Here is a 23,687-nt window from a genome sequence, read left to right on the forward strand (position 1 = left end):
TTTCATCCCTTCTTCAGAGTCTGTTCTAGGAAAATGCCAAAGTATTCCAAAAAAAAAAAAAAAAAAAAAAAACACCCTTGGGCTTTTCATTAACTACACTTCAGTCCTTGAGATTATCTTGATCTTGAAAGTTGCTGGCCTTTGAGCAACTTCTTCAAACCCTCAAGATGCATCCCCATGGACCATGCTGGTCCTTTTTCCTGAGCCAGCCATTTCAGCACACATCTTTGTCATTTCTTGTCATATTGAGATCAAGTTTGGCCATCCTCTTTGCAAAATCATATTCAGTTTTCTTAAGTAAGATTGTATTTTTGGCATGCTTCCATTAGAGTCAGAGCCAGCGGTGGCTCTCAGTTGCAATGCTCCTAGAGAAAGGGAACTTTAATTAGGACACAATGGGGTTGGCCTAGGGCTCGAGTTAGATTCAGTATTCAACCAATGTTGCTGCTTAAGCCTGTAAATGTATGGTATGCAACTTGTGGGTACTTTCCAGTTTTCACTGACTTTCTTCCAATATTGTGTAGTGTGTAAAGATCGGAGGTATTAAATCCAGGACCTGGGAGGTCATCACACTCGAAGGAGGCAGGCTGGGTCATCAGACATATGGCTGTCTTGGTTTTGTTTCCTTGTTCCCACTTCTGCTCATGATGGGCCTAAATAAGAGATATTCCTCTACTGTAAGAAAAGCTCCGTATCCCAAGTGAAGCTAATTGGTAATTGGTGTTTCATGTCAGAGGCACAGTAGGGAGCAGTGGGGATTGTGGCAAAGTGAGGAACTCATGCCTGCCTTCACAGTGCAGCTGCTCCTCAGCTGCATACCATTTTCATGAATTAGAAATATACCAGACTTTCTGATTGTTTACCTAAGAGAGTCTGAAAAGTCTTATTTCTAGGTGCTGTATGTCCATTTAATTGTTGTTACTTAGTCTAGATTATTTTTATTGATAACATAGAACAGTGGTCTTACATGTCTCTCTAGATCCTAACTAAAATAATAAATATCTTATATTTCATTTGAAAAATATTTCATATAGTTATAGAATTCTAGATTTTGAGTAATTTTCTTTGAGAGCTTTGAAGATGTTATTTCATTATCTTTTGTTTCCTGTACTCTTGAGTTTTTTTAAATTTTATTTTAGGTTCCAAGATACATGTACAGGATGTGCAGGTTCATTGCATAGGTAAACATGTGCCATGGTTGTTTGCTGTACCTATCAACCCGTCACCTAGTATTAGTTGAATGTTTGAAACTCAAGGTTAAACCATACCTGGGGGTGTTATCTGGTCTTCAATTCACCACTGTTGACCAACAGAGGCTATTATGATTTGCAAAACGTATTTTCATAATCAACAAGACAAAAATAAATAAAATTTTAAATCTGATTTTTATAACTTTTCTGAGAGGTTAAACTTTTGGAGAGCTAGAGAAAGAGCTATGCTGATAAACAAGCTTACTTAGCCTTATGTTTTTGTTTGTTTGTTTGTTGAAAGATGTTTGCCTGCTCACTTAAGGATACTTAGCATTAGAGAAAAGTAGCTTTTTTGAAAAAAGAAAATAACTTCGGGTTGCCCTTTTTGTCCATCAGTCTTGCATAGTGCTTTAGACAGCACTTCATACACTCATGCAACTCTTCACAAATTACCAATTACTTTCCCCTTTGCGTTTATCTAATTTAATCCCTACAGTCTTGCAAATAGATATTCAATTCTCCCAGCCCATAGCAGCTTGAAACAGTTCAACAAACACAATTAGCCCATCCCTGAAAAAAAGTATAGATTGCAGTGTAAATAGAAATTTGTTTTTCCACTTCAAGTGTGGCACAAATTATCACCCACCTTAGATGAATGATTAATTCCACAACTGTTAAGTATGTTTTTACTTTTATCTAAGCAAATATTTTGAGAGTTTTTTTCATAACTTAGTTTGATACCTAAGCTGGTAAATGTTTTGTTCAAGTTTGCTGAAGCCAAGACTAATTTAGAATTAGGGAAGTTAGGACTGCTTTCAAATTTGAGAGAAAATTTGGAAGGAATCCTTAGCCTCTCCACAGCCACCACCCTAATCCAATGCAATCCAATTGCCTCTCACCTGGGCAGCTCCAGCAGCACCCTCCCTGGATTCCCTGTCTCCGTCCTTGCTCCCTGGCATCCCCCACAGCAAAGCAGCCATGGAGATTGTTCTGAAGTGATAACCCGAATGTTTTCCTCTTGAATGTGTGATTTTTTTAGTGGCCTCCTGTTGAAAGCAGAATTAAATCAAACTCGTTGTTTTGCTTTCAGGCTCTGCATTATCTGGCCTCTCTCCAGTCTCTCCCTTATAACTGTACCAAACCATGGTGGCATCCTTCCTTTTCCACAAACGCCAAGCTTATTATGAACCTAGGGCTTTTTGTTGTTGCACATCTATTTATTGTCAGACTGTATGGTCACCTCCTTTTTTTTTTTTTTTTTTTTTTTACTGAGTTTGAATGCAATTATTCCTTCCCTTTCCTCCTTGGTAAAACAGAACTCTTGGAGTTTTGTTGTGCTGACTGCGGTGGTATCAGCACCAAGGACAGCGCCTACGTAGCACATCCAGAGGCTTATTAAATATCAGGTTCAACGACTGGCTGACTGACTGATCAAAGAGAGCTACAGCATAAAGGCTTCAGAGTCAAAGTTGAACTCCAGTTCTGCCATCCACGAGACAGGAAAGTTATACAACCTCCCTAAACCTCAATTTTCCCATTTTACGACAGGGATGAGAACAGTGTCTCCCACATTAGGATACCCTATGTATTCTTTTCCTATTGGTCCCCAGCAATCACAAATCTAATTGGCAGGTAACAGTGAGCACTTGTTTAGTGCATGTGTCTGTAGTACAATGGGGTCCTTGATTTAGGCTGCACTCAGTCATGTGTCTGCAGGTCAGCTGGCCCTCAAGTGAGGAGGCTCAGCTTTGGAGGGAACTCTGGTCCCTGTGTCTCAAGTCCTCTGCTGGAGAATAGTAGCTAGTCAGAAATGTTCTCTTGGTGAAGGAGAAGTGCAAGAGAAACTTCTATTGTGCAAACGCCTTCAAGCCTTTAACCGCATCACACTCGCTGCCGGTTAACATTCCTTAACCAAAGCAAGTCTCACAGACACACCCGCAGTGGAGGGGACACTCACAGCCAACGGGTAGGAAAGTACACTCTGCCCATGGAGGTGGAGAAGGAGCAAATACTCCTCTATGGTGATCTACCACACACTAAGAGTTGTGCAAGATAATGAGTGTTAAGTTCCTGGTATGTGATAGGCACTCAGTAAATGTTAGCTAAAGTTGAGAATTACTAATTTTTCTGTAAGACCCTGTGCCTGCCACAATAATATGAAAGTAATGAATAGTTTTATGTTAACAAAAGCTAAAAGCCCCCAGGTCATCCTTAAATGAATGTATATCCTGATTCAGGAATGCCGTGATTTTAAGAATACATTAGTGACTGCTTGTCATTTACACATCTCTTAATTTAGCTGAAATGGAATACGGGAAACATAGCCTCTTTAAATCCAGGTTAAGTACATTTCCATTGCAGGGAGCAAGGTCGGTGCTGTTCATCTAGGTATTTTAAAATGTGGTTCCAAACACTGCATGTTCTCACTTATAAGTGGGGGCTAAATGATGAGGACTCATGGACCCATAGAGGGGAACAACACACACTGGGGCCTATCAGAGGGTGGAGGGTGGGAGTAGGGAGAGGATCAGGAAAAATAACTAATGAGTACTAGGCTTAATACCTGGGTGATGAAAAAATCTGTAAGACAAACTCCCATGACACAAGTTTACCCAAATAACAAACCTGCACATGTACCTCTGAACCTAAAATAAAAGTTAACCTTAAAAAAATAGAATATGGTTCTGGAAGGAAGAATAACCGCTGATTTTAGGAAGAACTGTGAATGAAGGCAAAGACTTCAGAGGGAGATGGCTCTCAGTTTTGAGCCTTGGTTTCTTTATCAGTTAGGGATATTACCAGCTCTCTGATAGGGTCCCTGTGATGTTTAGAAAAGGGTCTACAAACCATTAACACAGTGAGTGGCACATGAACGGCTTTGCAAATTCTTGCTGCCTTTCCTACCTACTGCTCACTCCCTTCCTTGTTCATAAAGGACCGTGCTGTTGGCCATTTTGTCGTCAGCTCTTCTAGTAGGATGCCCTATGTGGGTATCAGAATACATTTGTGCAGAATCTTCTAGCTGAGTCCCTTCATATCTTTCCAGTCATTTGGGGGAAAAGGTAGGATCTGAATGAACAGAGACTTTCACGCTTACACTTGCTGGCTTAGCTGAATTAGGGGTAGCATTACTTAATTTCACCCATCACAGATGGTTTTACCTGTCATCTCAGCCATGAGCCACCTTCCTTCCAGAACTAGGCATTTCTTCTTTATGGTGAGTGAACTTAGTTTTTGACCTTCCTTTTTATAAAACACTAATAGTTGCTTATAGGAAATTCAAGTACTGCAGATAAGCACCAAGAAAATTAGAGTTGCATGTTATTCATCATCCAGAGATAATGTGAATTAGCATTATCATTAATTGATTTTTCTGTATGTCTAGGCAGAGATATATCAGGGAAAATGCTATTTATAACAGTTGCCTTTTTGAGTAATCATTTAGCTGTCATCTATTTGTAATCTGTATGTATATCCTACCTATATACATAACAAGGCAAATGTTGCTATGTATAGCCAACAGCCATCGCCCAAGAAAGGCGGGTAGCACCATCTTGTTCTAGGAGAGGTCCCTTTGTCTGTGGAATCCCAGATAGGTTTGATTTTGCAAGACTGAGAGTGGGAGCCAGGGAATACAGCACTGCTCTGCATAATAGAGGGAGGGAAAAGTAGTGTTCCAGGAATAGGACTGATAGGAGAGGGAGGGGAAGAGAGAAATGGGAGAGGGAAAGGAAGGAATCAATGCTGAAAGGAACAGAAAGCTGGGGGTTAGGTGGTATCACCACCAACCTTCAGCTAAGTTGACTACATTTTTAAATGTTTTTGCAAGGGTGGGTTTGTTTCCATTCCCCTCTTTTTTCCCTTCTCTTCATTGTCTTTTTCTTTCCTTCTTTTCTTTCTATTGGATGAACCCTGAAAGTGGTGCAATAGAGAATAAATAAGATAGGAGGAGCCTGGAGGACAATAAGAACAAAATCTACCTGAGAATTTGCAGGAACCTGGGGACATCACTAGACTTCCAAGGGCCATAGAAATTGGAGCTTTATACCAATTTTACTTACATCACCAAGGAGAAAGCATTTTTCCAGCTATCTGAATTCTCTGTCTTTCTCTCTGACTTCCCACATTGTATATCAACTGTTTATATGTTTTGTAGTTTTTTAATATAGCTATATATTATGAAAATTTCCTTCTTCATAGGCTTCTTTCTTTAAAAAAAAAAAGAGCCTGTAAGAATAATGAAAGGGCTGAAGAATAAAATCATTGAATGGGTACCAGATTTATTTTTATGTATTTTTTATTTTTGGCACAGTCCCAATTGCTGAGCTTTTTCTTGTGCTATCTCTGATTTTCCACCATAACAAACCGACAGTGATGAGCAACATTGTGTCTATATCTTAAGCACACCCAGGACTTTCTGGAGTCAGTTCCTACAAGTGGAAATACTTGAATAAAGGTTATACAAATGTTTAAGCCTTTTGATACACATTGTTAAATGATCTCTTCAGAAAGGTTAAACCAATTTACACTCTCAACAGTAGTGTTTAAGAGACTCTTTCTCTAAATCTCCTTTAATAATGAAGAGAAGCATTATAAAATCCTTTCCAATTGCCATTTTTATAAAAAATAGAACCTATTTGTTTTGCACGTATTTGGTAACTCTAAGAATCCCTCCCCCTTTTTTTCCCATAGGGTTTTGAACCAGTTGTGTTTCCTCTGGGAAAATCTGCTTCTTCATGTCTTTCAAGCCTTTTATTGATTTTCGAGAGAAGTATCTTTATGTTTTGTTTTTAAAATTCAAATGTGGTGTTTCTAAATGGTATGTGAAGCATGATTTCACTTAGTAGACATTTGTGGATTAGCCATTAGGTGAAAAATAACACTGAAGAGTAAAACAAATGCTTTTTTTGCTGTTCCTGGGAGCGTGGGATGCTTATATTAATTGTTTACTGGTGACCATGGATGCTGACACAATGATTAAATGCTTTAAAGCCAGCTTAATGATATAAAGCCATTTCTTCATTTGTGTCTTCTAAGTGAAATCCTTCCTAAGTGAACCACAAGAGTTTCCTGCTTCATCGCCTCAGCTGCAGCCTCAGCTGCTGTGATTACACTTACCTTGTCTCTGCTTTAGTTAGTTTTTATCCCCTCCCTCCAAGAAAGTAAACTACCTGAAGGCAAAGACTAAGAGTATATACCCCAGGGACGGGGATCATAACTATGTACACAGCAGACACTGAGCAAGCATTTAGAGGAGTGCATTTTACCATTAGACTCTTGAAGGACGTCATACTGAATTTTCAGAATTTTTTATGTACCCAGGGCATTTTATGTGAACGTATTTACCAGGGAGGGTCATGCTGTGTATGACCTTTATGTCATTCTACCAAAGAATCAGGCACCAAGACAGCTGCAGTTTCTCTGGCTACTCTGTTTCCTTCTTTTAGGGAACTTAGGACACTGGGTGATTCTTTAAAAAAATAATAACGAATTAACTTTTTGAATTGACAAAGATGGTATACATTTATCATGTACAACATGACGTTTTGAAATATGTATATATTGTGGAATGGCGAAGTCAGGCTAATTAATACGTGTATTATCTGATATACATTTTTGTAGTGAAAACACTTAAAATCTACTCTTCCAGTGATTTTCAAGAACATGATACATGTCATTAACTATAGTCACCATGTTAAACAAAAGATTTCTTGAAACTATTCCTCCTATCTAACTGAAATTTTGTATCCATTCACCAACATCTCCCCAACCCTCACCAACCCCAATCCCACCCCAGCCCCTGGTAAGCAAACTTCTATTCCCTACTTCTATGAGTTCAACTATTTCAGATTCTACATGTAAGTGAAATCACGCAGTATTTGTTCTTCTGTGTGTGGCTTATTTCACTCAACATGACATCCTCCAGGTTCATCCACAGTGTTGCAGTTGACAAGAATTTATCTCTTTTTAGGGCTGAATGACATTCCATTGTAGATACAGAGCATACTTCTGTCCGTTTTTTTTTTTTTTTTCTGTGGGGGATGGAGTTTTGTTCTTGTTGCCCAGGCTGGAGTGCAGTGGCGCGGTCTTGGCTCACTGCAACCTCTGCCTCGTGGGTTCAAGTGATTTTCCTGCCTCAGACTCCCAAGTAGCTGGGATTACACGTGTCTCCCCTCGCCGCCATCAAGCCCAGCTAATTTTTGTATTTTTAGTGGAGACGAAGTTTCACCATGTTGGCTTGCCTGGTCTTGAACTCCTGACCTCAAGTGATCTGCTCACCTCAGCCTCGCAAAGTCGTGGGATTACAGGCATGAGCCACAGTGCCTGGTCATGTCCATTCATCTGTCAGTGCACGCTTAGGTTGATTCCATATCTTAGCTATAGTGAATAATGCTGCAGTGAACCTGGGAGTGCAGATATCCCTTCAAAATACTGATTTCGTTTCCTTTGGATATATACACAGTAGTGGGATTGCTGGAGCATATGGTAGTTCTATTTTTAATTTTTTAAGGAACCTCCATACCATTTTTTTCATAATGGCTGTACTAATTTGCATTCCCACCAACAGTGGGGCACTGGGTGATTCTTAAAGAGAGTCTTCAAGGAAAATGCAAAAGCTCTACAGTATTTGGGTGGTGAGACAGAAAGTGGAGAAGGATATTGTGTTCTAGCACACTGCAAACATGGTTACTGAATTTGAAATTCAGAAGGAAGAGAAGGGATTTATTTTCCAGCTCAGAATTGCAGGTAGAGCCTAGCTATGAGAACTCCTATTTCTTACATCATCAAAAAGGAGGAAGGAGCTGGTTCTCCTTTGAGAGATTTTTGTTTGTTTCCCCCATATCTCCATTCATTTATTCGTTCATTCAAAACTTTAAATTTTAAGCTTTTCCTCCATTGACTTGAAGTAAGTGGAAATATAACTTATAAGGAAAGTGGAAAACAAATTACATTCACCACTCTGTGCTTGCTCATTACAAGTAAAGGTTACACATCTGGCTGGGGCAGAGGTCTTCAACTGACAGTTCCTAGGCCTTTTGTACTTTGCTGTCTTTTTGCTGTTTCATGTTGGAATTCATCGTCAGCACTGAAGTATCTGGAAATTTTGCACAGATCTTTATATTTCTGGCTTTTCATTAAAAGTTGGAAGATCTGACAAAGCTTGTCCATCATCCAATATAACAGCAATCTGTTGAGCTTTGGTAGTTGTTAAATGTTTTGGGTGTAGCCTGAGTGTTTCAGTTAACCTGCTTTACTCATTGGTGTCAGCTACTTGTCCTAGACGTAACCTTTTTCATTTACATCCTTTTTTTTTTTTTTTAAATTTGAGTCACCCAACGCTAAAGGTATTTAGGTTGGCTATTATTATTTCCACTTTTGATGGCATTAGGTATCTCTGGGCTAATGTTACATAGTAACGTCAGATCTGGGATGTGAACGTGGTACCTAAATTCAGACCAAGTGATCTTTCCCTAACTCATATGACCTACCCATATTTGGCAGAGCCGTTATCTTAGAGCCTCCAAAAATGCATGTGTGTAATCACACACATTTTGTAAATTTTGTAAATAAGCATGCACATATGTTAAAGGAAGTTCAGCATCTTGAGCCTCTGATAATAAGCCCTTCTGGGTAAATGAGTGTTCTGCATCTTTTCCATCTTTTTCATTTACGCTCTTATAATTACCTTTAAACACAGCATCACTGGACACAGCAAACATATCTAGGTCAATCTGTTTGCATTTTGATGGCTCCGCTGGATAAAATCTCTTCTCCACTTTCTTGTTTCTTTGGAAGAAGCAGAGACCAAGACAAAAGAACCTGTGGTTCATAGTGGCTTCACCATTCACAGGTATTCTCCTGGGGGTCAAATCAACAAATCATTCTGTCAGTTCTGTGGAGCTATTCAGAAATTCGTGTTGATGTCAGTGGCAACAAGGAAGAGCGGAGACATGTCAGGCTTTGGTTTCTGGTTCATTTTCACTCTAACTGCTTTGCATGGTGTTCTCCGGCTTGACAACCCCTCAACCTCTTCCTTGTCCTTAGGGTAAAGTCTGAGTTCCCAACGAGACTTCAGGATCAATCCTCTGCCTATCTATACATCATTGACCTTGTCATCACTTCCTTTCTAACCATCTGCAAAACATTAAATGCACTCTCACCTCTGAGTCATTTCTGGATGTCTCCTCTGTCTGAATGCTCTCATTTCCAGCCTCTTTTCCTTTTTCTGTTCAGCTCATTTCTACATGACCATCTTGCCTATGCTTTGACATCACTTCTCCTTACCCTACTTCTCAGGTGGCCTAGAAACCCCTACTCCATCACCACATAGTATTCTGTGTCGATCTATGGAGCCTCTCGTTACTTACCTTGCTGCCTCCTTGTGACTGGGAGTTCATGATGGGAAGGAATCTTTTCCTTGTGTCTCCAACACTGAGTCCAAGGTCTGCACATGAGAGCTCTTGAGAAATGCATATTGGAGGATTTAATATTTTGTTCGTTCATTACCTGAATCTGAAGAGTCTTTATATAGGAGCTCTCTTGTATCTAGAAAGGGGACTATTACAGTGTGAGACAGCAAAGGAAGAATTGCCTTGAAAATACGTTATGGTGTTAGCAGGGATGGAAAGTGTAAATCCTCCTAACATGTTTTTGAGAGTTTACTTCACTTTGGGCATTGTGTTGTTGTGCTAAGAATGCCCTTTACTTCCACCTGTTATTTTAATTCTCACATCAACCCTGTGACCCCCTTGTTTGTCAATGAGAAGACCAATGAGAAAAGAAATGAAATAGTTTGCCTGAAATCACACAGTTCATTGTTGGAGAAACAAGGATCCCAGAAGGAGCTGTTTGGCAGCAAGGACTCATAGTATTAACCACTCCATAAAGAAATTCTTGACTCATTTGCCTTTAGCCCTTTTCTTGGATTACTAATTCAGCAGGAAGACCAACCCTGGGCTCCTTAGGTTAATCGGGTTTATTGGATTATCTAGCACATTTCTTAGATTATCCAAGCTGGAATCTCCATTGCCAAGATATCACTGGCCTGATTAAACAAGCTGCGGTCTCTAAAGACTCCAAATGTCATGTTCCTGTCTCTCTCTCTCTCTTTTTTTTTATCAATATATGCCCATTTTAGGTGTTATTTTATTATTTCTCTAACTGTACCAACTCATCATTGTGTTCCAAAGGACCTCCCAGGTATATAATCCTCTCTGTTGCTACTTAAAAGAGGAAAAATTTTTCTTTTCAATCCTGTCTTCTGATTGGAGGTGAAAGCCATTCAAATCTAAGTTAGAAAGACATTCACAAGCCATTTTTGCAATTGTTATTATCCTAAAACTAAATTATAGGCATTACGTCTCTGAAGCATTATTGCTCATACCTAGAAGGGTGCTTTATGTTGTATTTCATACAATGATGAACAAGAAGAAAAAGACTGGAAGTTTAGAATGAGTGATTTTGGTCTGAAATAGGTATGAATTTTTCAAGAATGTGGTCACTGCATTTTGTACCATCATTTCTCTAGACATTTCAAATTTCAATTCACTCATTAATGGCTCAACCGTTAATAAGAAGGTGTTTTCCACAGTTTTCTTGAGTTTTATTTGCTGTTGTGTCCTGAGTGTGCATAATTTTGGAACTTTATAACAGTAGTGTTTTTAATATTTTATTCATAATATTAACGTTAGCTGTTATTTAGGGAGTATCCCCAATGTGCCAAAAATAACCCCATCTCCGATCTTTGCAACACTGTTGAAAAATAGAAAGATAGTTTCTATTTTAGACAATGAGGCTGAGGGTAGAGATATGACTTGCTTAGTGATAAACAGCTGGTTAAAGCCTGAGACTTAATAGGAACCAAAAATTGCCTGACCTTAAACTCTGTGCTATTTCCATTCTATCACACTGCTGTGGAAACTTTGAGTACAAAAAGATTTCGTTAAAAGGATGTTAATTGCAGAGTTGTAATAATAGTGACTACTTGGTAACAATATAAGTATCCACTGATAGGGGATTGGTTTAATAACATTTTGTTATATCCACATAATGCAACATTATTTAATGTTTAAACATGCACTTTAAAAATAAGTGAATATGTATTGCCATGGCAAGATGTCCAGCTTATATTTAGTGTAAAAGAGATTGAAAAAGAATTTGCACCACATTATCTATTTTTAAAGCATGTTTATATTTGTGCATGCATGGGCGTATCCCTAAGCAAGGTCTGGACCAGCACTGTTCAGTAGAAATATAATGCAAGTCACATATGCAAAGTAATTTTTTTAGTGGTTGAATTAAAAAAATAAATGCATGAAATGTTTGTTTTAATAAATTTTACTTAATATATCCAACATATTTCAATATATAATCAATATAGAAATATTAACAATATATTTTACATTTTTTTGTGCTAAATCTTCAATGTACATTTTTATACTGACAGCACGTCTCATTTCAGATCAGTCACATTTCATGTGTTCAATAGCCACATATGGCTTTCCGTTACCTTATTGGATAGCACTAGTCTAGAGGAAATATAATAAGATCATAAAGTGTTCACTTTGGGATGGGGTGATTATGTGTGTTGGTGTTAGTTTATTGTCTCCTTTTGTCTTATTTGCATTTCCCAAATTTCCATAATGAATACATACTGCCTTTGTAATTTGGAATTAAAATACACTGTTAAAGTCATCATTCATTTTTAATAGGGAGTGGTGAGCTTCTAAAATGCACTGTTAAAAATAAATACATAGAATGTAAATCCGTGACCTATTTTCAGTCGAGGCGAGAAGCTGGAGATGGTATGAGGTTGGCTCTCCTCTTTACTCCCTTGCCTTCCAGCTCTGTAACCCCTGCTCCCAAAAGCCAGGCCTCTGGGGTTCTGATGAGGGGAGAGGTTAAGCCTCACCTCCACAGTCAGCGAGCAGATCTCTGATGAAGCCACCATTCCTACCAGAAGTTCTGAGGTTTGGCCTCAGATTCATTTTCAATCTCTTTGAAAGACAAAGGCGGCTGTCATGGGAGAAGCCTACACTAGTTTGTCTCAATCTTTTATGGCATTATTGCTGACCTTTCACCAAGGAGCCTTTTTAGACCTTTTTTCCCTTCCTAATCACCATTCCCCTTCCCTCATTAAATTTTAATACCACACATACACTGTATGTCTGTTTATACCATGTAAACTGTGTGTGCGTTGATGTATGGTGGCCTTCTGGATGGCCACAAACCAAAGTCATATCTAAAATTTCTTACCCTCTTGTAACTAAGAATCCATTTCCACCCCTTTAGGGTAAATAATCGCTCCCTGTCTCATTGAGAAGGACGCCCAGGGCCATGTTCACTGGTGCCAAATGTCAGTAATACGGTTGTCCTGTGAGTTGCATTTAACTTCGAATCTTGGACCAGTCACCAGCTCTCTCACCGTTCTACGCACACATCTTTGCCTTTGTGGATACCTGTCACTTCCCTATCCCCACTAGGGCATCTGAAAGTCCATCACACCCGGGAAACCTACCCAAGTCTCTCTCCCTGACCACATGGGAAACAGCCTTTCTGTTTCTCCTGTGGCATGTGTCATGGCTGGCATTCTCTGTTACTCGTTCTGATCCTGTCTCCTCTCCCCCTCTGATCCGACCCTCCTGGAGAATGGGATGCTGTATAATTTCATTTCCCGTGTGTGTCTAGAGCCGGGCTTTGCATGCCATCGTCCTTCAGTGAACAGTTGTGAAACTGAACGAAATTGCCTTCGGAAAACCCTTTCCGGTCCAACTGTTTCTCTATCAGAAAATCTCATTAAGACTTAATCGCTAACATCTTCCCATCCCCGGGGTCATGCTGTAATCCCCAGCTGAGAGTGCGATCCCTGACTGGGAGGAAGTGAGAGTATCATTTCTTTCCCAGAACCCACACGCTTCCTGTGTATTTCCCACCACCCAAAGGTCACCACCTGGGGTAAAATTACATGCAACCTCATGAGACTTGCTGCCCCTCTATCTTCCCTCTTTTATTTCTGAAGTCACTGTAGGGAAAATGTACTGATTGCAAACTGAAATAGCAGCCACTGGGAGCTGGACTGGTATGGCTGTCAGCCATACCCCCCGGGTTTCACCTGCTTAATGAGCCGGTAGCCCATGCTTTATCCAGTAGAGACCTCACTGTCTCCCATTCCAGCCCACCGTTGCCCACCCTTGCTTATCCACACCTACCAAGAGCCCCTTCCCGAGAACTGCTCTTCCAAAGTGAGATTGTACTCCCAACCCTCCTCTGTAGCCATCCTTGGGTCCAGTGTTTATTTCTTTGTGGCCAGGAAATCTCTCCCTTGCTCTGTTCTGCATAGATGTTGCCTGTGTTAGAATTTCAGTAGAACTCTGCAGATTTGAATGGAAGATTTGAGGGCTGCAAGAGCTATCATCGTTGATAGCAAGCATTTAGCTAAGGAAATTAAATTGGAAGTCCTTGCATTCTGGCTGGATTCTGTTACTCTTTGGGCAGGGAATGATTTGGTTTCAAGGAGATTCCATCTTCGTATCTCCTGCTTTCAAGGGAGGAAAGGGGGAAAGAAAGCTGAACAGAGCCTAATGAAGGAATTCTGTATCGACACAACTCTGACATTTGAGATGTTCAATGTAATCAGCACAACTGGTAGCTTTAGGCATTGATCACTGTGCTGAAATATAAAATTCAGTTGGCCATATTCTGTTCATGAAAATGCCTTTTCATAATTCACTGCTTCCAGAGGTACCAGCGATAATTTCTTGACTATTTTATTCTGGAGAGCTTTAGGTATGGTTAACAATGTGCCATGTACAGAGAGGCATGTATGCACACCATAAAGATCTTAAATGCATTTTCAGTTCAGTGTCCTTCTTATTAATTATTCTAGTCACTTTAATTTATTCAGCCTCCGTATTTTATACATTAAAATGAGTGAAAATGATAAGAAATATTAATGGTTGTAATTATTGACTGTATATTTGAGATTCATGTCTAAATACACTTAACTTGGGAAGATTTGACATTCTGTTTCACTGTGTGCATTATTTGCCTGTTTCATCTTCTATATTCTCCTAAACCCTCTCTCTCTCTCTGTCAAGGGGGGAGGCGAATTACTGCAAGTAGATTATGAAATATTGTTGTACATGCACGTAAAAATATATCAGTACTGGCACATCTGTAATTTACTCATAAGTATGAGATTCATATTAGAGATCTATATATCATATAAGCAAAATAATATCCATCCTGTACTATATTATTTTACTAACATGATGGCTGAATTTCAAATGAACTGCAAAGGTCATGGTTGCTGTTCTATTAGAGCCATTTAATCTCATTTGTCTCCCCATTACTAACCTCAACTTTATTAGTTGCTGCAACTACTGCTGATTTTGAACCGAGAAAGGGTTCCTCTAACTGATGTCATTTCATGCTTTGAATTTACAAGTAAGAGACCCTGATTTAAAATTATTAGGGCTCCTGGGAAAGGAGAACATTAAAAGTTTGCAGTGGTCCTCTGGTTTCCCATAAGGTGAAGTTTTTAGATGGAAGAAAGATGGGTCCTGTTTCACCTATGACATATTGCATACCTTTCCAAGCCCTTGTATTCCCTCACCTCTTGCCCCTCTTCAAACTAGTGATCACGTCTACCTTTGAGAAAACTAGTAGCTAAAATGAAACAAAGCTACTTTATGAAAAGTCCATGAGAAGCAATTTAACCTGGTTGACCATCTCCATCAATCTGTCACCTGGAGAGAAGCTGTTGACACCACATGACCTCTCCTCCACCATCACGCTATGAAGTTATCACTTGAGTAAGGGCTTTCTCTTTGATGCTATACAATTAAACTGAAGGAAGGAAGGCTTTCGCTAGTAGGAAAGCAACTGCAAAGAGAGGCTTAAACCCTATGGAAACACCTTCCCCTCTCAGGCACACACATGCAAATTATCTTTAACCAAAAGCGAATGGGTTCCAGTCGTTCAGCACACATCACATATAAGATATTCCTAGGGCAGGAACTTTTTTTTTAATGAGTGAGACCCCTGTAGAGTTCATGCCATTGCATAAAATATTGCAGCCATTTGCATTTAATGGTGATACAAATACTGCTTTGAACACTGGGAACATCATTTACTGAGAGAAACAGGAGATAGTCAGTATAAATCTCCAATGTAAAAAAAAAAAGGATTAAGATAAAAAGTAGTTTAAACTCCAACACTTTCTCTGTATTTTTTATTATTTCTAATAAACAAGCCTATAGCTTTTGAAATTTTATCACTAACTTGAGAGGTGACTGTTTTCTGATGTTTATACATCACTCACTTAGTCATGAACTTGTAGTAACAATGCCACATGCTTTATCAATAGCTGGTGAGTTAATTGGGAGGGAGGGAAATGTTTTCTTAAAAAACTACCTTTTCTCCAGAAAGGATAATTTTATGTGTGTGTAATAAGAATCTAGTATACCTGGTGTATTAGGTGCTTAATATATTGTAGGCCCTTGGTAAATAATTCTGGGATAAATGAATGCCTGCCAATTTATACTGTCATTATCCCTCCCCTCCCTGATTTAGTAATTTCAGGCTCAAGTAGTTGATCCCAATGCTTTTGTGCAATGTGTGGCTTGTCTTTTGTCATTGTTTATAAGCTCCATAAGAACAGAGACTGTCTATTCACTGTTTTGTTTCTGTAAATATATAACCATATATTGTGTATATGGATCCTTAAGCATGAAGGCTTAGAGGAGATAATGAATAACACTTTTATACAGAAATCAAACCAAGACTTTCATATCATTATGGAATCACATGCTTTTAGCGTAATTAAAGTTGTTGCATATAGAACAAATAAGACTGCATTTTCTTTAGCTGTTAACTTGGACTTGCCAGATATCCAGACATGCTTCACTTTTGGTTTGAATTAACAGGTGAAATAATACAGTGTGTGTTTTGTTAAAATTTTATTAAACGCCGCTCTTAAAAATTAAGCAAGAAAATGAAAGAAAGAAACAAAAACAATTAACCAAAGATCACCCACAAAGCTCCCAAACTGTTTTGTTCTGGGTGCTAAGGCACTGTTTGATTTTTTTTTTCGTGCATATTGATGTACTCTTTCCCCGTTAACTGCTTCTAGTCTCCCTGGACCTCCAAGGCTGCATCTTCAGGGAATAACTCATCGCATCTCCATTATGTGTCATGTAGAGACGCTATGTAGGTAAGATAACAGAGTCTGGCTAAAGGGCACGTTTGGTGTTATATTCCATTAGTTTATTGATTTTTTTTTAAGTTTCTCTAATGTTCTAATGAGAATATTTTCCACTCAATCCTGAAGGAGTCCAAAGCTTTTTACGAACTTCAGGATAGAACACACAGGGACTGATTCCCTAGGCTGCCGAACAGCAGGGTCCTTGGAAAGACCAAATGGAAAATTGCTTTTCTATGAACCCCAGGTGCAAGAGTTAGGGAACCCCTATCTAATTAAGAGCTGGGGGAGTTCTGATGCAGTCACTGGGGTTGGACCCATCATTACGGTGAATGCTAGGCTCTGGCCAAACACCTACAGCCCCTTCAAGGGTCAAGAAAGTTCATGGCAAAAGATTTGAGTCACTTCAGGGGATGGTGGAAGTTTCTCCCAAGCCTACCTTGGCGTCTATGACTCCACCTGAAAAATGGCCCAAAATGGACAATAAAGGAATTTGGAGGGACAATGGCATCAAGTCAGGACTTCCTCTGTAGGACACATATCCAAAGAGCCAACCCACTAGAGCTCCAGCCGCAGTTCTTGCTTGTTTTGGCTGTGTGAATTTGGGTAAGTCACTTAGCTTCTCTGAGCCTTAGCTTTCAACTTTGTAGAATAGTTCTGAGCATTAAAGGAGACAGTATATGATGTATAAAGTGGAATTGATGAATGGCAGGTTCTCAATAAAAGTTGGCTTGTGGTTATATCATTATCATCACTACTACTGTCATGATGTCCAGACATCAAGGCAGCAGAATGTGTCCTCCATGTGTTAACCTGGGGCCCAGCCTCTATTTGGTGCCTAATAGTTAAAAGTTGGATGCTTGTTGAGTAAGTGAGTGTATGAGTCCCTTGTCGTCTCCCTGCCAAAGGGAACACTTGATCAGCATAGGAGATAACTAACGGCAGTAACTTTGCTCTGAGCTCTTGCTTCTTCATCAAACCGTGCTTTAAAGACTTCCCTGTGCAGAGGCAGTATAGAATGAGGCTCAGGAACTCAGGCTCTGTAGGCTCTCTCCACTCACCTCTTTATGTGTCTGACAGGATGCCAGTCCAAGCATCCTTTTCCTTATTGATAAAAATAGGCATCATGATAATAATAGTATCTACCTGATAGGATGGTGAGGACAACAAAGTGAGATCACGAGAGCCTGACACTAAGAATCCCCTGGAGAGCTTTGAAAGCATTACTGATATCCAGACCCTCTCCCCAAAGTCTTGGATTCATTTGTTCAGGAGGCAAGGTTCCTTTGGGCATCAATAGTGTGAAAAGCCCTCCAAGTGATTCTAATTTAGAGCCTTTGCAAGTCACTAGTTAAGGGGTGGTAGGGTGGCTGTTGTTAAATCATCCTAACTTTTTGTCTTTTCCTGATTATCCCTTTCTCTGTTGGTTCCTTTTTCACATTTATGGGAAAAGCAATTATGTACCTTTTTGGAGGTTTCACTATGTTTTCCTTTTGCTGGGGGTACCATTTCTGGGAAATATGACACAGAGAAACTTTGTAGTAAGTGAAAGGTAAATATAGTTATATATCTATAGATATGGATCTGTATATTGAAATTTAGGAAATGAGTTATTTCTACTGCAGTAAGCCACATTTTCATGCATGCATAGCCTGCCATTTTATGGTTGCTGTTGTTAAATCATTCTAATATTCTGTCTTTTCCTGATTGCCCATTTCTCTATTTTTTTTTTCATATTAATGGGAAAACCAATCATGTACTTTTTTGAAAGTTTCACTTTGTTTTCCTTTTGCTGGGTGTACCATTTCTGGAAAATACGGCACTGAAAAATTGCAATAAGTGAAAGGTAAATAACTGGATATATGTCTATAGATGTGGATCTATGTATTAAAATTTAGGAGATCAGAGTTATTCCTACTGCAATGAGCCACATTTGCAGGCATGCATAGCACCCCACTTTGTGGGGCACCCATTGCTCCTCATTCTGGGTCCAGCTTTGATTCCCTGTGGCTGCTGCAGTCTCTGGCTCATCTCTGCAGCTTTGATAGCTGTCTCAAATACAATCTGCAATCTATCAAGGAGGGCGTGGAGGTGTCCTGAATAATCAGCAGGTGTCTTGGTTATCACCAAGGAGAGGGCATCATGCCCGGCATGCATGGATGGCAGAAGAGTTACTGCAAAGGCAGTTGTAAGCTCAGGAATCCAATTCTTTTTCTAAGTTAGTGCTGAAATGTGGCTGACTCAGATGTGGGGTGTCAGGATCATAGATAGGACAAGAGAGAAAACTTGTGTTCTTATTTGAAAGCCACAGCCTGTGTGGAGAGGCCTGCAGTTCATTGCCACTGGACAAGAGAGTAAAATTTCTGGGACCTCCACTTACTCTAGGAAGTGTTAGAGGGTGATAGGAAAGGAGTTTGTGCAGACTTCTGCAGCCTCTGCAGGTGGAATGACTGTTCTCTCCTCTAGTCTCTTAGAGTCTGTCCACAACCTCTGAATAGCCCTTATTCCTTGGTGAGTCACTCAGCAAATGAGAAATTAAATGCTATTGTGCATGCTTTATATTATGTGTATTTCTTCTCTGTTACATTCTAAGCCACTTGATGGCAGAGCCGTGAGTTACTTTGCTCAGGATATTCAGCACCAGGAAGGTACTAGGCACACATCCTTAGTACCCAGGAAGCACAGGGGAGTTGAAGATGCTTTGAAAGACCTGTTTGGCCCTTCAGGTAGACATGCATGGGCCCTGAGAAGCCCCAGAATTTCGATGTTCTCAGGAATCATCAGGAGACTAGAAGACATTGATTCTCAACCCTGGCTGGGTAGCAGGGCTCCTTGGAGAGTTTTAACTAGTCTTGATGCCTGGATCCCAGAAGAGACCAATTTAAACCAGTGTCTCTGGATTTGGAGCCAGAGTACCTACAGTATTGTAGTTCCTTAGGTGCTTTGGGTTCAGGCAGGGCTGAGGACCACAGCTCCATAATAAAAGGATGGCTGAGCTAAAAGGGGTGATAAGAGGTAGAAAGAGGCTGGGAACGGTGGCTCACACCTGTAATCCCAGCACAGAGAGGCCGAGGCAGGTGGATTACATGAGGTCAGGAGTTCGAGACCAGCCTGGCTAACATGGTGAAACCCCATCTCTACTAAAAATACAAAAATTAGCTGGGTGTGGTGGCACGTGCCTGTAATCCCAGCTGCTCAAGAGGTAGGCTGAGGCGGGAGAATCGCTTGAACCCAGAAGGCGGAGGTTGTGGTGAGCTGAGATTGCACCATTGCACTCCAGCCTGGGCAACAAGAGCAAAACTCAGTCTCAAAATATATATATATAAATTAAAAAAAAAAAAAAAACAAGTAGAAGGAAGGAGTGATACAACTGAAAGGAGAAACAAAACACAGAAAGATCTTGGCGGTTTTGTTACATCTTCAGCCCCATCAAACCAACACCCTTCAAGCTAGACACTTTGCTTTTAGCATTTTGTCATTGTTACCCTGTTTCTTACTCACAGTGATCTTAAACAAAATGACTACCCTCTTTGTAGCAAAGGAAAGGAAGCTTATAAACTGATGTGCTAGGCTCCTGGACTCCAGACCTCAAGCACTTAGCCAGTAAACTGTGTTCCTTCAAAAAGACAAGGTAAATATGAAGGAAAAAGGGAGTGAACTGGACAGAAGAAAAAACAAAATTGGTAAACTCAAGGAAAGCTGATAGGCACTAAAGCAAAAACAAATGAGCAGAATTCATAGTTGTTGAGGGCCTCCAAGATCTTATGAGAAACTCAGAAGGTGCAAAGCAGACCCAGTCATCTCCAGCTTACAACAGATCTGGGATGGCTCACAGTAGTCCAGTGTCTTGCTCAAACTCACAAAGCTAAGTCTCTGAGCTAGTTTTTCTGTAAGGGCCAAAAGCTAAGTATGTTAGTCTTTGCTGACCACGTAGTCTCTGCCACAAGTATTGAAATCTGGTATTGTGGCAGAAAGTGGCCACAGATAGATAACATGCAAAGAAATAAATGTAGTTGTATTACAATAAAATTTGATTTATGGACACTGGAATTTGCATTTCATGTAATTTTCAGGTGTCATGCAATCTTATTTTTCTTTGGATTTTTCTCAACTTTTTTTTTTAAAAAAATGTAATCAACCATTCTTAGCTCTTGGCTATATCAAAATAGATAGTGGGGCACATTTGGCCCTTAGGCTGTCATTTGCCAGCCCTGGTCCAAACTTTAAAGTACCCAGAGGGTAAAAAGTTGATGAGAAAGCATAGAAAAAAATTGATACATGACTATTTGAGACATTTACCCCCAGTCCACCTTCCCACAGAAAGATCCATCAGGCCAAGAGTCCAACACTTTCCATCTTCCATGACTCAATGCCACCAAGCAGTTATTTGTAGAATCCATTTGCGGTTTTCAAACCATAGGCTCTGGACTTCAAAGCAGGCCAGTCCCATTCTTTTTGTCTTGAAATGAGTATAATAAGCTCCCAGACCCTTTGTTCTAGCAATATTTATTGAATTACTAATAAAGACTAGACTCTGTTCTGCGCACTAAGGGTGCAGTGGTTATCTTAGTCTATCCAGTTGCCATAGCAAAGTGCCATAGACAGGGTGGCTTAGACAACAGAAATCTTTTCTCTTGCAGATCTGGATACTGGAAGTGAGATCAGGGTAGTAGGATGGTCTAGTTATCATGTGGTCTCGGTGGCTTATGGATGGTGGCCTTCTCCCTGTATCTTCCCTTGGCAGAGAGAAAGAGAGAGAGGGAGAGGAAAGAAGTGGGTGTGGAGGGAAGATGTCTTTTCTTTCTTTTTCTTTATGTTTTCTTTTCTTTTCTTTCCTTTATTCATTTATTTATTTGTTTATTTATTTGTTTATTTTAGATGTAGTCTTGCTCTGTCACCCAGGCTGGAGTGCAGTGGCACGATCTCAGCTCACTGTAACCTCCGCCTCCCGTGTTGAAGCGATTCTCCTGCCTCAGCCTCCCGAGTAGCTAGGATTACAGGCACCCACCACCACGCCTGGCTAATTTTTGTATTTTTAGTAGAGACGAGTCTTCGCCATATTGGCCAGGCCGGTCTGAAACTCCTGACCTCAGGTGATCCGCCTGCCTTAGCCTCCCAGTGTGCTGGGATTATAGGCGTGAGCCACCATGCCTGGCCAGGTGTCTTTTCTGATAAGGACACTAATCCCATCAGGAGGGATTACCTTTGATATAGTTTGGATATTTGTCCCCACTCAAATCTCATGTTGAAATATAACTCCCAATGCTGGAGGTGGGGCCTGGTAAGAGCTGTTTAGATCATGGGAATGGGTTCTTCCTTGCTTGGTGCTGTCTTCACGACAGTGAGTGAGTTATGAGATCTGGTGGGTTTTTGTTTTTTTTTTTTTTTTTTTTTTTTTTCTGAGAGGGAGTCTTGCTGTGTTGCCCAGGCTGGAGTGCAGTGGCGCTATCTTGGCTCACTGCAAGCTCCGCCTCCCAGGTTCACGCCATTCTCCTGCCTCAGCCTCCCAAGTAGCTGGGACTACAGGCGCTCGCCAATACACCTGGCTAATTTTTTATATTTTTTAGTACAGACGGGGTTTCACTGTGTTACCCAAGATAGTGTGGATCTCCTGACCTCGTGACCCGGCCGCCTCGGCCTCCCAAAGTGCTGGGATTACAGGTGTGAGCCACCGTGCCCGGCCGGTAGAGATGTGGTGATTTTAAAGTGTGTGGCACCTTCCCCCACGCTCTCGCCCTCTTGCTCCTGCTTTGGTCACGTGATGCTTCTGCTCTTTCCTCACTTTCCGCCATGACGAAAGTCCCCTGAGGCTTCGCTGGAAGCCCAGCAGATGCCTGCGCCATGTTTGCTATAAAGCCAGTGGAACTGTGAGTCAATTAAACCTCTTTTGTTTATAAATTACTCAGTCTCTGGTATTTCTTTACAGCAATGCAAGAACAACCTATTACACCTCATGCCCTCATCTAAATCTAATCACCTCACCAAAGCTCTATCTCTGAATACCATCGCGTTGGAGGTTAGGGCTTCCGCATATGAATTTGGAGGGCACACTTCACTCCGTAACAATGGTATACAAAATAATGAGGTTTCTGTGTTCATGAGCTTACATTCTTTATATTTGACAATAAAAAAGTAAGCAAAAAGTAAGAATTTTTAGCTAATGTTAAATGCTACAAAGGGAAAAAAAATAAGAAAACATGTACCGATTACAGAGATGAACTGGGACAGGAATTACAAGTTTGGAAACTGTTTTCAGGGAAGGCCTGTTTGAGCAGGTGACTTAGGACTGGGGGTGAGTGGTGTGGAAGCACTCCTGGAGGTTGCTGGGGGGAGACTGGAAGACTGAGCAATAGGGAGAGAGAAGATCATGTTCAAAAGGGCCACTGAGACCAAAAAGCTCCCCAAAACAAAAACAAGGTTCAAAAGGGTGAGCCAGCGGGGTAGACAGGAGGCCAGCATACCTGAGGAGAGTCGAAGTGGGGGACAGTAGCTCCCACTGTGGAGAGTTTGAGTGTTACCTATTAAATGCAATGGGGAGCTGGGCACAGTGTGGCTTATGCACTTTGGGAGGCCGAGGTAGGCAGGTTGCTTGAGGTCAGGTGTTTGAGACCAGCCTGGCCAACATGGCAAAACCCTGTCTCTACTAAAAATACAAAAATTTAGCTGGGCACGGTGGCTCATGCCTGTAATGCGAGCACTTTCGGAGGCCAAAGGGGGCGGATCACTTGAGGTCGGCAGTTGGAGACCAGCCTGGGCAACATGGCAAAACCCCGTCTCTACTAAAAATATAAAAAATTAGTCAGATGTGGTGGTGTGCACCTGCAATCCCAGTTACTTGAGAGGCTGAGGCAAGAGAATCACTTGAACCTAGTAGGTGGAGGTTGCAGCGAGCCAAGGTTGCACTACTGCATTCCAGCCTGGGCAACAGAGTGAGACTCTATCTCGACAAAAAATTTAAAAAAATAATAAAATAAAATGGGAAGCCGAGCACGATGGCTCATGTCTGTAATCGTAGTACTTTGGGAGGCTGAGGTGGGCGGATCACTTGAGGTCAGGAGTTCGAGACCAGCCTGGCCAACATGGCAAAACCCCATCTTTACTAAAAATACAAAAAATTAACTGGTTGTGATAGTGCGTGCCTGTAGTCCCAGCTACTTGGGAGGCTGAGGTGGGAGAATTTCTGGAACCTGGGAGGCGGAGGCTGCAGTGACCTGAGATTGTGCCACTGCACTCCAGCCGGGGCAACAGAGTGAGACCCTGTCTCAAAAATTAATTAATTAAACCTTCAATGAGGA

The 23,687-nt window shown here is 40.7% G+C and overlaps 1 protein-coding gene across 30 annotated transcripts in view, besides 2 other annotated features; it reads left to right on the forward strand.

Annotated features, from left to right (window-relative positions):
* RBFOX1 (RNA binding fox-1 homolog 1) overlaps positions 1-23,687 on the forward strand; it is a 2,473,620-nt gene that overhangs the window by 2,004,479 nt on the left and 445,454 nt on the right. The window lies entirely within an intron of this gene.
* Positions 283-452: an enhancer, noted in NCBI's record as "experimental_44361 CRE fragment used in MPRA reporter constructs". NCBI's record gives its function as "activates a minimal promoter by MPRAs in K562 erythroleukemia cells, with activity observed for both the introgressed and non-introgressed 16:7294568 variant alleles {active_cell/tissue: K562}" and the evidence as "EXISTENCE:reporter gene assay evidence [ECO:0000049][PMID:34662402]".
* Positions 2,456-2,656: a silencer, noted in NCBI's record as "peak2487 fragment used in MPRA reporter construct". NCBI's record gives its function as "represses an SCP1 promoter by STARR-seq MPRAs in K562 erythroleukemia cells {active_cell/tissue: K562}" and the evidence as "EXISTENCE:reporter gene assay evidence [ECO:0000049][PMID:32103011]".

This window comes from Homo sapiens, chromosome 16 (assembly GCF_000001405.40).
Source record: "Homo sapiens chromosome 16, GRCh38.p14 Primary Assembly".
NCBI lineage: Eukaryota > Metazoa > Chordata > Mammalia > Primates > Hominidae > Homo > Homo sapiens.